At 40.2% G+C, this 16,601-nt stretch overlaps 1 long non-coding RNA gene across 4 annotated transcripts in view, besides 1 other annotated feature; it reads right to left on the bottom strand.

Annotated features, from left to right (window-relative positions):
• Window positions 1-2,507: 2,507 nt before the first annotated feature.
• The window catches only part of LOC105372130 (uncharacterized), a 177,123-nt gene continuing 163,029 nt past the window's right edge, over window positions 2,508-16,601 (bottom strand). For 2 of the 4 annotated variants that reach the window (XR_935488.3, XR_007066383.1), the window contains exons 4-5: window positions 14,435-14,523; window positions 2,508-7,076 (exon numbers count right to left, since the gene is read on the bottom strand). This is a non-coding gene — a long non-coding RNA (uncharacterized LOC105372130). Of the gene's footprint in view, window positions 7,077-13,944; window positions 14,244-14,434; window positions 14,524-16,601 lie in introns of those variants that run through there. The other 2 variants (XR_007066382.1, XR_935487.3) reach the window with 2 other exon arrangements.
• Window positions 10,739-11,938: an enhancer, noted in NCBI's record as "P300/CBP strongly-dependent group 1 enhancer chr18:53500200-53501399 (GRCh37/hg19 assembly coordinates)". NCBI's record gives its function as "activates an origin of replication core promoter dependent on BRD2, BRD4, P300/CBP, MED14 and CDK7 cofactors, with strong dependence on P300/CBP, by STARR-seq in HCT116 cells {active_cell/tissue: HCT116}" and the evidence as "EXISTENCE:reporter gene assay evidence [ECO:0000049][PMID:35650434]".

Raw genomic sequence — 16,601 nt, 5'->3', positions numbered from 1 at the left:
CTGCAAAACATTGTCCTCCTAATTATGATACAAACAGAGGATAAGACCATTTCCTTATCATAAATGGACTTCACATTTATGGCAAAAAAAAACTGACTTTGCAGAATTGACATGGTATTACCACTTACTCAGTGTGAAGGGAGATTCCCAGAGATCTCCTTTCATCGAGGACATGCTGAAGTGCCACGAAAGGAACAGTGCATTTTATTTTAAGGAATCTGCAAAGTATCCAGAGAGAAATCACTGCAGCTGCCCTGCCTATTTTCTCATTTAAAGCACACGTTGCATTTGCTTTCAGCTTTTCAGTGTCATGTTTCAGCTGGTTTCTGGTCTTCAAGGACTTGGGCTATTTCCATGAGCCCTGTAAAATAGTTCAGCATTGCAGACCATTTCCTTATCATAAATACCTGTGTCTTGGACTTCACATTTATGGGTTAGTAAACTCATTGTCTTTCCTAACAGCTCCTTCTCCTTGATGGTGGGGCAGATGGCACACTGACTAACTCTGGCTACTGTAGGTAGCGGGGATGGGTGCACCGGGCAGAGAGCAGTCAGCCAACCCAGGACCAGAACCTCGTCCTTTCCAGAAAGTCACCCCAGAATTCAATGCTTCCACTTTTCTTAAGAAGGTCTAGTATTGTGTACATTCTGCATTTTCATCATTCCTTGAATTCAACCTATAGAAAAAGGCAGCTTTTAATTAATCCATTTATCTAACAAACATGTATTAGTTGCAGAATAGTGGTTAAGAGCCAAGCTAGCTAATGGTTTATGTTATTTAAGCATCAACTTCTTCATCTGCTAAGGCAGTCATAATAACAGCAACTACCTCTAGATTATTATGAGGGTTAAATGAGTGGGTTCTCTGACAGATACTAACAATATGATTGACACATAGTAGGCAGCATGAATCTTTGCTATACATATTTTTAAATTTTTAGGGGCCAGGCATTATGTAGCTCTGGGGATAAAAATATACCAAAAAATAAGAAAACACTCAGAAACTGTCACAGACCAGAGGAAACCAAGGAGATACGAGGATGAAATGTAATGTGATATCTTGTATTGGATCCCAGAACAAGAAGAGAACATGGGTGGAAAGATAAATTAATCAAAACCAAATCTGGTGTCAAGTTAATAGCAATGTACTAGTGTTGGCTACTTAGTCTTGGCAAAGTAATGTAAAATATCATCCTAATAAGGGTAACTAGGTAAAGGGTATAATGGAAACGCTGTATGATGTTTGTAAGTTTTCTATAAATCTAAAATTATTCCAAAATCAAAAGTTTTATTTAAAAATATATTATGGCACATTTTGGGAGGCCGAAGTGGGCAGATTACTTGAGGTCAGGAGTTCGAGACCAGCTTGGCCAAGATGAAGAAACCCCATCTCCACTAAAAATACAAAAATTAGCCGCGTGTGGTGGCTGGCGCCTGTAATCTCAGCGACTCGGGAGGCTGAGGCATGAGAATTGCTTGAACTCAGGAGATGGAAGTTGCAGTGAGCTGAGATCACAGCACTGTACTCCAGCCTGGGCGACAGAGTGAGACGCCGTCTCAAAAAAAAAAAAAAAATTATATACATACATAAAATGACAAAAGTGCCTAAACTCAAAAGAAAATTTTAACCTAATGGGATACAAACAAGAAAATAAACAGCCAAAAGACATATTCTTTTTTTTTTTTTTTTGAGACAAGAGTCTCACTTTGTCACCCAGGCTAGAGTGCAGTGGTGTGATCTCGGCTCACTGCAGCCTCTGCCTCCCAGGTTCAAGCGATTCTCCTGCCTCAGCCTCCTGAGTAGCTGGGACTACAGGTGCGCATCACCACGTCCAGCTAATTTTTTGTATTTTTAGTAGAGACGGGGTTTCACCATGTTGGCCAGGATGGTTTCGATCTCCTGACCTCATGATCCACACACCTCAGCCTCCCAAAGTGCTGGGAGTACAGGCATGAGCCACCATGCCGGGCCCCAAAAGACATATTCTATGTACTGTAACAAAGCAATCCAAGCAGGAAGAACGGACAGTTAGCTGACCCTGGAGATAGGTACTATCTGCAAACTGATGTTCAGGTTTTATTCACTAAGCAGAGAAGGAAGAAGGACATTTCCAGGTAGAAGAAATATCTGCAGAGTCTTACTGGCCAATATGAGAAAATTTGCAATTTTCAAATAACTGTAAGAATTCAGTATAGTGAAGGCACATGATGCCTAAAACTGAGTAGCTGCATCTAGAACTAGAGAGGAATGTGAAGGTAAGATCGTAATAAGCATTTCTGTCAAATGACACATTTGACTGACATATAATCAACTTACAATAGACTATGCATATTAAAATTTAAAGTGTACAATGCAATAACTTTTGATACATGCATAATCCCAAGAAACCATCACCACAAACATGGCAGCAAACATATCCATCACCCCCAAAAGTTCTCCCAGACCTCTGTCTCTTTCTAACTCCTCTTGTTGTCCTTGGTAACCACTGATCTGCTTTCTGTCACTATAAATTGGGTTGCAGTTTCTAAAATTTTATTAAATGTCATCACACCATGTTATAGGATGAATTGTGTTCCTTCAAAACTCATAGGTTGATGTCCTAACCCCCAGTATCTCAGACCAGTATCTCAGAATGTGACTGTATTCCAGACAGGATCTTTAAAGGGATATTTAAGTTAAATGAGGTCGTTAGGGTGGGCCCTAGTCCTACATGGCTGGAATCCTTACGAGAAGAGAAAACATGGACACAGAGGGAAGACCGTGTGAAGACGCAGTGGGAAGACAGCCTCTACAAGCCAAGGAGAGAGGCCTCAGAAGAAACCAACACTGTCAAGGCCTTGATCTTCGATTTCTAGCCTCCAGAATTCTGAGAAAGCAAAGTTCTGTTGTTCAAGTTACCTAGTCTATGGTACTTTGTTATGACAGTTTTAGCAAACCAATACACACAGTATGCATCCTTTTCTGTCTGATTTCTTTCACTCAGTATAACTATAGAGTTGCAGGTATCCATAGTTTATCCCTTTTTATTGCTCTACTCCATCATATGAATATATAAGAATGTGTTTATCCACTCACTATTAATGAATGTGACATTAATGAATATTTAGATTGCTTCCAGCTTCCGATTATTATAAATAAATTTTCCATGAGCATTTGTGTGCAAGTCTTTTTCTGGACAAAAGCTTTCACTTTTAAGTAATATCTAGGAGTTGAATGGCTGGGCCCATGGTAAATATATCTTTAACTTTATAAGAAATTGCCAAACTATTTTCCAAAGTAATCATACTGTTTTACATTCCTACCAGCAGTAATCATACTGTTTTACATTCCTACCATACAGTTTTACATTCCTACATTTCCCCAACATCCTCGCCAACACTTGATACAATGAATCTTCTTAATTGTAGCCGTTCTAATAGCTGTGTAGTGCTATTTCACTGTGGTTTTAATTTGCATTTCAGAATGACTAATGATGTTGAGTGTCTTTTCACATGCCTATTGGTCATGCCTATATCTTCTTTGGTGGTGTCTGTTTAAATATGTCATAAAGGATTTTTTAGATCATACTAAAAAGTTAGGATTTTATTCTGTTTACAGTAGGAAACCAGGGATAAATTAGATTTTAAGCAGTGGAGAAATGTTATATTGAGAGGTGACAGCGTGCTGGCAGCCCTCGCAGCCCTTGCTCGCTCTTGGTGCCTCCTCGGCCTCGGTGCCCACTCTGGCCGCACTTGAGGAGCCCTTCATCCCGCCGCTGCACTGTGGGAGCCCCTTTCTGGGCTGGCCAAGGCCAGAGCCAGCTCCCTCAGCTTGCAGGAAGGTGTGGAGGGAGAGGCGCAGGCGGGAACCGGGGCTGCATACCACGCTTGCCGGCCAGCGCAAGTTTCAGGTGGGCGTGGGTTTGGCGAGCCCGCACTCGGAGCCGCCAGCGGGCGCCACCAGCCTCGGGCAGTGAGGAGCTTAGTAGCTGGGCCAGCAGCTGTGGAGGGTGCACCCGGTCCCCCAGCACTGCCGGCACTCGAATTCTCACAGGGACTCAGCTGCCTCCCTGCGGGGAAGGGCTCGGGACGTGCAGCCCGCCATGCCTGAGCCTCCCTCCCACCCCAGCAATGGGCTCCTGTGCAGCCGGAACCTCCCTGATGAGTTCCGCCCCCTGCTCCACAGCACCCGGTGCCATCAACCCACCAAGGGCTGAGGAGTGCGGGTGCATGGCGGGACTGGCGGGCATCTCCACCTGCGGCCCTGGTGCAGGAGGCACTAGGTGAAGCCAGCTGGGCTCCTCAGTCTAGTGGGGACTTGTAGAACCTTTATGTCCAGCTAAGGGATTGTAAATACACCAATCAGCACTCTGTGTCTAGCTCAAGGTTTATGAATGCACCAATCAGTGCTCTGTGTCTAGCTAATCTAGTGGGGACTTGGAGAACTTTTGTGTCTAGCTCAGGGATTATAAACACACCAATCAGCACCCTGTCAAAACAGACCAATCAGCTGTCTGTAAAACAGACCAATCAGCTCTCTGTATAATGGACCAATCAGCAGGATGTGGGTGGACCAGATAAGGGAATAAAAGCAGGCTGCTGGAACCAGCAGTGGTAACCCACTGGGTCACCTACCACAGGGTGGAAGCTTTGTTCTTTTGCTCTTTGCAATAAGTCTTGCTGCTGCTCACTTTTTGGGTCCACAGTGCCTTTATGAGCTGTAATACTCACTGCGAAGGTCTACAGCTTCACTCCTGAGGCCAGCGAGACCATGAGCCCACCAGCAGGAATGAACAACTCCGGACGGGAGGAAGAAACAACTCCAGATGCGCTGCCTTAAGAGCTGTAACACTCACCTTGAAGGTTTGCAGCTTCACTCTTGAAGCCAACGAGACCACGAACCCACCAGAAGGAAGAAACTCCGAACATGATCAGAAGGAACAAACTCCAGACACATCACCTTTAAGAACTGTAACGCTCACCACGAGGGTCTGCAGCTTCATTCTTGAAGTAAGTGAGGCCAAGAACCCACCAATTTCGGACACAATATGATCCGTGATATAGAAAGATTACGCTATGGCAGTGAACTAGGAGGGGGAGGAATGGGAGTTAGGAGGTTGGTGCAGCATGTAGATGAGGAATGATGAGCCGTAGGACAGAGCAGAGGTAATGGGTATACTTGGCAATGACAGAGACTGTGTGGAGTGAGAGATCCCTTCCAAAGATGTTTGCAAGTAGAATCAAGACTTGGTGACTAGCTTACTCACCAGTTGGTGGGGAGTGAAGGAGGAGAGGTCAGAATATCTTTGTGGTTTCTGGCTTGGGTGGTAATAAGTAGTCATATGGGAGCAGTTCCTCTGCAGTGAATTTAGGACAGGGGTTAATCACATTGTCAGTGCTGACCCCAGGATTTTGACTGAATCAAAACAGGAACATGCATTATCCTAAGTGAAACAACTCAGAAACAGAAAGTCAAAAGCACATGTTCTCACTTATAAGTGGGAGTGAAACAATGAGTACACATGGGCATACAGAGTAGAACAACAAACACTGGAGATTCCAAAAGGTGGAAGAAGGGTGAGAAATGAAATACTACCTAGTGGGTACAATGTACGCTATTCGGGTGATAGGTGCACTTAAAGCCCAGGCTTCACCACTATATGATATACTCATGCAATACAACTGTCCTTGTACCCCTAAATCTAAAAAAAAAAAAAAAGTTAAAAAATTTCAAACAGAGGCCATGAAAGAGGCTAAAACAGATTAATTTCTTGGCATTGATGAAACAAAAAGTTCAGTAACCTTTTTTAGCAGCCGCTGAATCTACTGCCCTCTTCTCACCACTTGCTAATTTCATGAGTCACTGCCTCCCTACTGTCCTGGCTGATCTCATGGCCCTTCCTCTGAGTGCAGAGATCCTCAGGCAGTCCTCTATCCCTCTAGTTAATACTTTATATTGCAACCATTGGTTCCCCACACTAGGCAGTGAGCGTCTCAAGGTCAAGTACCAGGTGTTATTCATCTACTATCAATGTCTGCCAAAATACCCAGCAATGTGCAGGTACTCACTACAGTGTGTTGTCGTAAATTGATAGAAGGAATGCATAGTGAGGGAGCCATGCAATTGACAGTGACAGCCTTCTGTTATAATGCATACTGTGTGATCACTGGAGGTCAGACCACCTTTCCAGTTGCCCACTGTTTGGAGGCAGTTTTGAGGAAATGGTATAAAGTTGAAGGGATCATGAACTGCCTTAGGTTTCCTCTGACTGAGCCCTCTGGCTTTGCTCTACCCCTAGGAGAAAACGAAAGGCCCACTTTCCACCTGCAGATCTGAGTCACAATCTGCCTCTGTCCTGTCTCGCGCCAAGGCCTGGGTGATGTTTCTGTTTCCTGTAGCCAGCCCCAGATGTCAGGAGAAGGTCTGGGCCTCCCAGCACCACCTGCAGCACACCCTCCCCTCTTCTTATCTCTCAGCAGAGTTCTTGGTCTTTTAGCAGTTCATTGAGAGGCAGCGAGGAGACACTGCAGGCTCTGGCGTGCTTCTGTAGTATTTCTGTTTCCTCAGGCTGGCATTCAGTCTTCGACACCATCCTGTTCTTTGGGAGGTGATCTTTTGTTGGAGAGCTCCCCAGTGTCTGTTGTTATGTTTGAGACTGACTTGTTCCAGACTAGTGGGCTGGGAAGACAAGACTGCACTAAGTGATACAACATGAACAGAATGCTTGTAACATTTTCCCATCTTTTTTCTCCCTCCTCTCCACCGAGATTTCAGAAAACTCCTTCCTCTTGTTTCTTCCCCCTATATTCTCATCCATCTATAAAAGCTCAGGAGTACTGAACTTGGAATTGTAGTCACAGGGAAGGAAGTGTCAACCAAGTCGCAACGACTGCATGAGTTCTCACTCTTCTTCATCCACCTTTCCACTCCATTTCCTCCTAACCTTTCCATCTGGACTCAATTTTCATGATTTAAAGCATATATTCTATTTTACTCATTCATGTCACTTTCTTCCCCATAGACACATCATAGATGGATGGCTCACTTACTGGCATCAGTAGGAATTTTTCCATTCAGAACACAGATCTCTGTTTTTCTGGGAAGAGAAAGTCAAAAATTTAGCAGCTAAATAACATGGATGCTGTGGTTGCATCATGTTCAGCAATTATGGCACCACAGCCCTGCTCCCTAATTAAGCCAACAACTAGTACTCTATTTGGGGCCCTAATTTCTTTCCTTTCTCACGGTGTCAAAAAAAATGTCCTCCAACAGCTCCTTTTGAACCGAAAATTATTATGCTTTCGTCTCAAAGCCAAAGACAAATTTATTTTGGAAAGTTTGAATCAAATTTTCTGAGTTACTCATGAAGAGAAAGGTCATGAAAATGCAATATTTTTAAATTTGGTTTTTTAAAAAAGTTTCTCAGCTTTTGGAATTCACTCCATTCAAAAATCACTTCTTTAAAAAAATAAACTTGAATTTTTTATGCCCTAGGATTCCCATAACAAAATAGTTGGAAGCTGTTCTTGAAAGAATACTTAAAATGCTAAAGTGCATGAGCAGCCTCTCTGGTTATGTATCAGTTAATTCACTAATTCATAATACTAATTGGTCATGTGTTATTAATAGTTATGCATATTCTTGGCTAGCAATACAGATAATACAAATGGGGGCAATTCCACAGTAATGCATATCTATTATTGGATTATTACATTCTAGAATCATATAATTCTTCAAATGAATATGGAGCCACATTGTAAAATTAAACTCCAGGATGCATTTTATCATTTCCCCAATTTTTAATGTTAAGAATAAATTAATAAATCTTATTTAAATGTCGACTCATGCCATGTCATTAAAGTGTCCCTTTGCACTCCTCCAGCTTCCCTACTCTAAACTATTCCAATGCATGATAAAAATGAACAGAAGATACAAATTATGAACCACACATGTGCTTTAGTAATCTACTTGTATTTGTAGTTTTGCATTCCCTTAGGTTGTAGGAAGTACTTAAGTGATTTCACTTAAAGGCCACCTGGGAGTTGCATAGGTCCAGAAGTAAATTGTGAATAGAGCCATCAAATGATAATCTCAGATTGTTTAATTCTATCAAAAAAAAATCAAATATGAATAGCTGAAGGTAACTCACACTCAGACTGAGAAAAATCTAGTTATAGCAAATCAAGACTAGGTTTGCATAGCTCTGTATCTCTAAAAATCTTAATGTCTTAGTAGCTTGAGCTTGACCTTAAGAGCTGTCTCAGACACCCAAGGGGAGCATAGCACCGGTAAAAGCCTCAGAACCAGGAATCCTCCCTCCAAGCTCTGAAGTCACATGAGTGCATCTCAGAGGCCGTAGAGGAAGCATCTGGTAGCTGACACCTTGCAGAAATACAAGCCCAGTACTGCCAGATCCTTTTTTCCAAGAGAACTAAAAATCTGGATTTTTATGTGAATGCTCCCAATTTTTAAATGATGGTAGCCAATAAGAATTTTTTGGAAAAGTGGGTAGACCAAACAACACACAACTGGGTACCAGATGTGGCTCAAAGGCCAACAGTTTGCACTGTCCAATTTATATAATTCATCGTAACTAAATATAGCCAGTGCTCCTAAATACATTAAACGTGTTTTTGTAAGAGAGCTTGTTTTCCTCCTCAGCTAAAAATTGTTTGTGTTTTTCTTCTTGTTGCACTCTCAAGTATAATTCAAAGTGTGTAATTTGTGGATTTTAATCCTCCACTCCTGGTTACATTTTCTTAGCAGTTTCGAAGAGTGCTTCTTACTGTTTTACAACATAGGCTTCCACTTCTAATAACAAAAATTATATATTTTTCCACTGCTTGTTTTTCCTGGCTTTAAGAGAGGAAAAAAAGCCATCCTCATTTACTTTTCTAATGATGGCTAGCATCATCATTGATGTCAATAGATCCATGAAGGGAAAAGGAGGGTTAAATTAAATTTCTTTTGATGTTTAGTTTTTCCATCAAACGAGAAGTGAATATTCTGAAAAGTGGTTAAACTCGTTTAAACAATACAAAAAGAACGCTGTTGTTGGTTCAACACCAGGCATTTTGGTGAAGCGATAAGATTTTTAAAAAGCAGAGCTTTTCACCAGGTGTATGACACCATTTCACATAGCCATTTGGGTTTAAATGGAACGAAACTGGAAAAAGAATGCATTTTGCATTTGTAATTCAGTTAAATAGCTGCAACACATGAATTGGTCTGCTGGTAGTTCCCCATATGTTCCTTTAGTCATTTGAACATTTTTTCCACGACCACTAAAAATGATCACTTTTCTATGAGGAGTAACCTCTTATTCTTAAATCTGATAATTAAGCTTTTTTTTTCTGCTTCTGGGATCTATAATTACTACTATCCTTGTAATTTTAAACAATACTCCAAAAATTATTCATCAAGTGCTTGTCATCATCAAGTAATATTCATGGCGCATCTAGGGACATATCCTCTTCCAAAATCTTAAATACCATGCAAATCTTCATTTAAGACACGGAAAGGCAACTTCCCCTTTCTTGGGTACATACTGGACTCTTAACTGATGATGATATAACAACTTATTTCATGCAGCCACGAAGGAAAAATTAGTATATATTATTCCTAAAGGGAATAACTTCCTTTTTGTTGTTGTTGTTTGTTTTTTTGAGACGGGGTCTCCCTCTGTCACCTAGGCTGGAGTGCAGTGGTGTGATCAGGGCTCATTGCAGTTCAAAGGATCCTCCCCCCACAGCCTCCTGAGTAGCTAGGACTACAGGCGCACACCACCATGCCTGACTTAGTTCTTAAAATTTTTTGCAGAAACAGGGTCTCGCTATGTTCCCAGGTTGGTCTCAGACTCCTGGCCTCAAGCAATTCTCCCGCCTTGGCTTCCTAAAGTGCTGGGATTACAAGCATGAGCCACAGCTTCTGGCCAGAGGACCCACTTTGATTTTTTTTTTTTTTCATCATGTCCAGTTTTGTCTTATTTTACTTTTATTTTAGGGTCGGGGTATATGTGCAGGTTTTTTATATAGGTAAACTGTGTGTTATGGGGTTTGGTGTACAGATTATTTCATCACCCAGGTACTAAGCATAGTACTCAATAGGTAGCTTTTTTACTTTTTCCCTCCTCCCATTCTCCACCCTCAAGTCCTTGTGTCTACTGTTTCCCTCTTTGTGCCCATGTCTTCTCATTGTTTAGCTCCCACTTATAAGTGATAACATGCAGTGTTTGGTTTTCTGTACTCTGTTCGTCTGCTTAGGATAATGGCCTCCAGTTCCATCCATGTTGCTACAAAGGACATGATCTCACTCTTTTTTATGGCTACATAGTATTCCATGGTGTATATGTACGACACTTTTTTATCCAATGGCCAATGTGCATTTCAGCTGATTCCATGTCTTTGCTATTGTGTATAGTGCTGCAATAAACATACACATGTATGCGTCTTTGTGGTAGAATAATTTATATCCCTTCGGTATATATATCCCTTTGGGTATATACCCAATAATGGGATGGCTGGGTTAAATGAAAACTCTACTGTAAGTTCTTTGAGGAATTGCCACACTGCTTTCCACAATGGCCTTATTTCAATTACTTGTAGTTTTATTTGAAAAACTCAATTATTGATGTCATAGAAAAGATGTCCAAATTATTACCTGAATATTATAATTTTAATCATTATATAATTACCATTTTATTTACATATTACATACAGTCTCCTAAACATCAACATCCATTTCTTGGTCCTGCCTCCTCAGAACCTAGAAAAACAAATAACTCCATCAGTTCATCATCAGCAAGGGTGTAGTAAGCAGCTACTATTTGGGCTCTGTGCTTCAAGAATGGATTCAGTTGGGAAGACAGCATATAAACTTCTGGTTTTCCCAATCACCAGGTTCAACACCATGGAGTCAGATTTGAATCTTCTCTTCCTTGCCTACTGCATTCAAGCAGTGGCTAAACGTACTAACTCTACTTTCATGGTATTTGATGCCTTTATCTCTCACCCTTCTTCACTGGTATGTCTACTGCACGGGTTCAGAATCCCAGTAAACAGTTGAGAATGGAACTCATGGGCATAAGGTCATTTGATATGTCTGGATACACAGGCCTGAAGCCTGATTCCAACCTGAAGTCATGACTAAGCGATGGGTGGTGGAGTCACTATCAAAGAATCTCCACAGTGGCAATGATGAGCCAGAGGATCCTAAGAACCTCTGAAATGAGTCAGTTTTAAGGAATGTCTGGTTGAGAAATCTCATTTTTCCTGGGAGCTGTCTTACATGGCCTCGTCGTCTAAGAGGATCCACATGGTCTGAGACCCTTTGCCAGGGTAGAATGGGGTAATTTCTGAAATCACTGGGGAATAGGAATGATATGTTAGATAAACTGAAGGGAACACTGAGGACAAGGAGCTTTTGTTCTACCTTCTGTTTCAGATCTAGCACGGATGGAGCCCTGAAGTTTCTGAGGCTCCCCAAAGGAATTAAAAGCTTGGTAGAAAAGGGTGGAATGCCCAGGGGCCAGCAATGATGAGATGGAGAGAGACTTGCTGGGATGGATGCTGGGGGTGACTGCCCAACCAGAGACCAAAGGAAGGTAAGGCAGGGATACGATGGGTCTGTAGCACCAGCGAGAGCCATGAAAAGACCATGTAGCCAGAAAGGGTTGTAGCTCCCTAGCCATGCTGAGACTTACTAAACCACAAGACAAATCAACTACCAATCCCATCCACTGCAGAAGACAAGAGAGAGAGACAAAGGATATCACCCCGAAGACCAGATGAATGGGAGTACTCCGACAACTCTCCCCACCAAGAAGCCAAGTCATACATTTCCCCCAGGAGTCTCCATTGCCATTTTGAGGATGAGCTGAGGACAGGAAAAAAATACTAATATTTAATATTAATGAGAGATAATACTTTTTGAGAACTTTGGTGCCAGGTCCGATTCAAGGTATTTTACTTCCATAAGTTCATCTCCCAACAACCTTTGAGGAATTTTATTCAATTGTATATGTTATTACTCTCATTTCATATATATAGAAACTGAGACACGGAATAAATCATTTGCTTAAGATCACACAGCTACTCAAGTGACAGAACTGGGATTCAAAACAGGCAGTCTGGCTTTAAAACACTCATTCATAGCCATTCTGCTGTGGTGTCTTTCTTTACAAAATAAGAAATCCTTGAGACATCGAAACTTACAAAGTGGCACAGGAAATAAAGCATTAGTAAAAATATAGGAACCAGAAAGTGGAGTACCTCTAACCTTTCTCCAGTACACCTGGGCACCATTTTGAAGGGGAGTGGGAAAGAGTAGGATCGTGATAAACGTATTGAATCTTTCCCACTTGCCAGGCATTGTTCTAAGCACTTTAGCTGCATAATTCACTTACTCCACATTATAACCCTGTGATGTAGACCAGTGCAATCCAGCAGAACTTTATGATGGACAGCAGTGGTCTACTGTTCTAATCTCTTAGCTCTCCAGTACAGTAGCTGCTAGCCACTTGTGGCTACTGAGTACTTGAAATGTGGCTAGTGTGACTGAGAAACTGAATTATTAACAGTGTTTAATTTTATTAAGAACTACTTTAAATTTAAGTTTAAGTAGCCATATGTGGCTAGTGGCTACCAAACTGGGTGGTGCAGAGGTAGATTTTTTTCTGGTTTACACACAGAGAAACTGAAGTGCTGAGTGTCCCTGTCCCTTGTGCAAGGCCACAGATTGACTCAAAGGCAACCCCATGGTTTAAACCCAGTCAATCTGTCTCTGGAGCACACATTTTTAGCCCTAACATTTCCATGAGACATTCTAAGCAATCACCCCAAAACACTGAGCATAACCTATGGCACTATTAAAATTATGGAATCGAACACTTAGTTTCTTTTTCTCTCTGACAGTTGGAGACTTAGGAGAAAAGCCAGATCTGTAACTGACAAAATAAAGGCACTACATTTTCTCTTTAGAGTTTCTGAATGGCACTGTCTGCTCTCCAGGCAATATGATGTGTTTCAACAGTATGGCTGAAGCAGTCCCGTTCGGCCTGATTGCTCTTGCAACCCTGGATCTAGAGAAGGCTGCCAAATTGCTGTTGCCCTAAAAGGTCTGAACCAGGAAGGGCTCTGCTCAATGCATAGGGCAGCCGAGCCCGTCTACTCGAGGCTGCCAGGGACGGTAGCTCACAGGTGCGAGGACCCTGGAGTCAAGCTGAAGGGATGAGAGTTGGGGGTCATTGTCAGAAGTAACGCCTGAGTAATTAGAGTGCCAGGAAACTAGAAAGTAGAGCTGGAAATCCAGAGAGGGATGCAAATTAGGGTAGTCAAATTGGAAGAGTTTTCTTAAGCCAGAGGCATGTCTTAAAATTGGCAGAAGACTTGAAACAGATACCCCAACCATAAAATTAAAGCCCGCCTCACCCCTGCTGACACCCTGAATGACCTTAAGCAAAAGCTTACCTCCCCAGGATTTAATGTCATCTGTGACCTAGGGACAATCATATTTGTCCCCTCATTCTAAAGTCAATGATTTGTTTGTGAAGTGCTTTTAGCTACCCATGAAGGAAAATGTACTAAAATATACCAAGATTTTTCTTGAGATTAAGCACTCATATTATAGTTTCTTAGATGCTTTAACTCATGCACGAAAAGAATTTAATTCACCCAGTTTTTCTCTGAATTCCACTCCCCTGTGTCTCACTCTGAGTTCAGAAGAGAGAAGCCAAGAGGTCAGTTTCTAGGGGTCCCATGTTGGAGAATGGCTTTCGGTGGGAATCTTTGTCTGAGAAAGCAGTTGGAAATGAAATAAGACTGCTTTCTCATTGGAATAAAATATCACATTAATTTTTTGAGAAAAGAAAAACAATAAGGATATCCTGGAAACCAAGGGCTTTTTAACTGCAAGTCTCATCAAAGCAAAAGCACGTCCATCCACTAAAGAGCTCATATAGACACGAAGATGGTTAAAGATTTATTATGAAGAATAAAAACCCGGGGAAAACTGTGTGCCAAGGGGAGAATTTTGCAATTTAAAATGTGTGTGTGTGCGGGTGTGTGTGACATTTGTCAAATTTCACAAAATGTTTCCGTTTTGCCAGGCAGCGTTTACAAAGCCAAACCTTGGAGCTCTGCACAGCACCTAGGCCAAAAGCAATCAACAGCCCAAGCCCACACAACAGCACATTAGAAAACATGCCAGCTTCCCTCACATCACGAAGTCAAAGAAACGAAAACCGCAAGGCTGAATTGCGCAATGCCTAGAACACGAGAAAGAAACAAAATGGAAAGAAGAAACTCATTTAAAGGGCAAGTAATTATTGACAATTATACACGATTGAGAGATAAGCTTCAATTTTAATACAAAATATAGCCAAACTTGTTTCTTGAACTTGCATAAACGCACTCATCAGACACCTTAAGGAAGTCAAGACTTACTGTTGAATCCTACCTTCATTGGCTTGTAGGAACACTGACATGAACTCTGATCATCTACACACTGATGATATCCTAGATAGAACAGCAGTCAGCAAATGTTTTCTGTAAAAAGCCAAATAGAAAATATTTTAGACTTTGTGAGCCATGCAGCCTCTGTCACAACTACTCAATTCTCTGTTGTACAATAAATATGTGAATGAGAATAGTTGTTCCAATAAAACTTTATTTATAAAAATAAGTGGTGGGCCTTAGTTTGCCAACCTCTGCCCTAGAAAATTTAATAAAGGGAAAAGTATATACTTAGATACTAGATCAGGAATAAGATTTATTTATATTTGGGGAAAACATAATTATTTCAAATTCTATGTAACTCTAATATAGTCTAAACTTATTTAATCTATAATAATTCTATTATTTTAATATAAGAACCAGAATATGAAAAAGATGAGATTATAAATTATCTTGTAAGTTTCTGCTTTTGCTTCACTACCCGTCTTAAATGTTTCCTTTGCAAAAAGACTACTCCAAGCAAATGTAGTCACCCCGTTCTCCTTTCTCCCACAGACATTCATTTATAGATCAGTGTTACCTTCTCTGAATTCCTGTAGTCTAATATTGTACCTAAAGTATAGTAGCTTGACAACTAAATAAGTCACTGCACACCTGTTTCATCTTTTCACTCAAAAAATAACAAAAATTAGAATCTTAAAATATAGTAGAGAAATAGCTTCAAAGTTCAGAAGGAAAAAGATGTGGGTTCTCCATTTCTATTCCCAATAACTCAATAAAGCCATTTGCAGACACTCAAGGACTCAGAAAATGCACCACCCACAAAGCCTTTCTAAAATCTTATTTAAGAGTGTATGCCAGAAAAATTAAAAAGGAATCCAAGGAGGAGGAAAGCATGAGAGTGAAGGGACAATGATAAGTTAAGAATTCACAAAAGTTACAATTAGATCAAAATAAAGATTCATAATGGTGCTGTTTAGTCCAATTATTTTGAAAAAATTCATTGTAAAATAGAGGCAAGATGTTTAAAAAATCAATACAAGGTTGAAACAAAATTTCTGCCTATGTCAACACCGGTGAAGTCGTGGAATAGACAAGAAGGAAGAGGTAAAGTTTCACAGTCTTGCCTTATTTAAAAGGAGGTAAAAGATACTGACTAATGTTAGAAATTGATAGAAAGAAACATGTTTAAATATGTTATTTAAAAATAAGGATAAGCACTGGGTGAATAGAATAGTTGTAGTATATATACACCCTTCAAACCAGGAAATGAAAAAATAACAATAAAGGAAACTTGATCACACCAGGAAAGGGTAAAAACTAATTTACATAAAAATAGGAAACCAAACAGGATGTCAGAATGAGACCAAATGTTTTCATTTTTCTAGTAAATGGCAACAGATACATTTCTCAATTTAAAGACAGAGAATTTCAGATTAGGTTTTCTTTAAGCAAAATCCAGGTATATCTGCTTCCAAGAGATATGTCTAGAACAAAATGATTCTGAAAGATCAAATATTAAGGGATGGACAAAGATATAGTAGACAAATGCTAATAATAGAAAGCAGGGATGGCAACATTATAGTCAGTCAAGGCAAGATGCATTAAATAAGACAAAGACAGTATAATCCATAAAAAAGATATAAACTCAGTGCATTTAATATTCAACTATCAAACTACATTTAAAAAAAATCCATTTGAAATCAAGAAAGCAATTGACCAATTTAATATCATGATGAAAAATTTTAATACTCCTCTCTTGGAAATCGATAGAATAATCACATTCCCAAAAGGAAGATATGAATAGCACAATTAACAACATTGATTTAATAATTTATAGACATCTCTGTAACAAAAACAGCAGAATAAACATTATTTTCAAATACCCATGGAATGATTATAAAAGTGACAATATATTAGATCAGAAAAATATTCTCAAGAGATGTTTCAATAGTAGAAATCATGCAAACCATATTTTACAGCTATAATGCAATGAAACTAAACATTAACAACAGAAAATGGACAAATTAAAATTTATCCACTGGAAATATAAAAACATCTCCTAAATTGGTCTTTAATTTAAAAGAAATTTATAATTGATACTACATACTATTTATAAAATAATGATACTGAGAACACTACACATCCATATTTGGGGGCATTTGGGACTT

This window comes from Homo sapiens, chromosome 18 (genome assembly GCF_000001405.40).
Source record: "Homo sapiens chromosome 18, GRCh38.p14 Primary Assembly".
NCBI classification, from domain to species: Eukaryota; Metazoa; Chordata; class Mammalia; order Primates; family Hominidae; genus Homo; species Homo sapiens.
The sequence above is the reverse complement of the archived record's forward strand: the minus strand, read 5'-3'. Positions and strand labels throughout refer to the sequence as shown.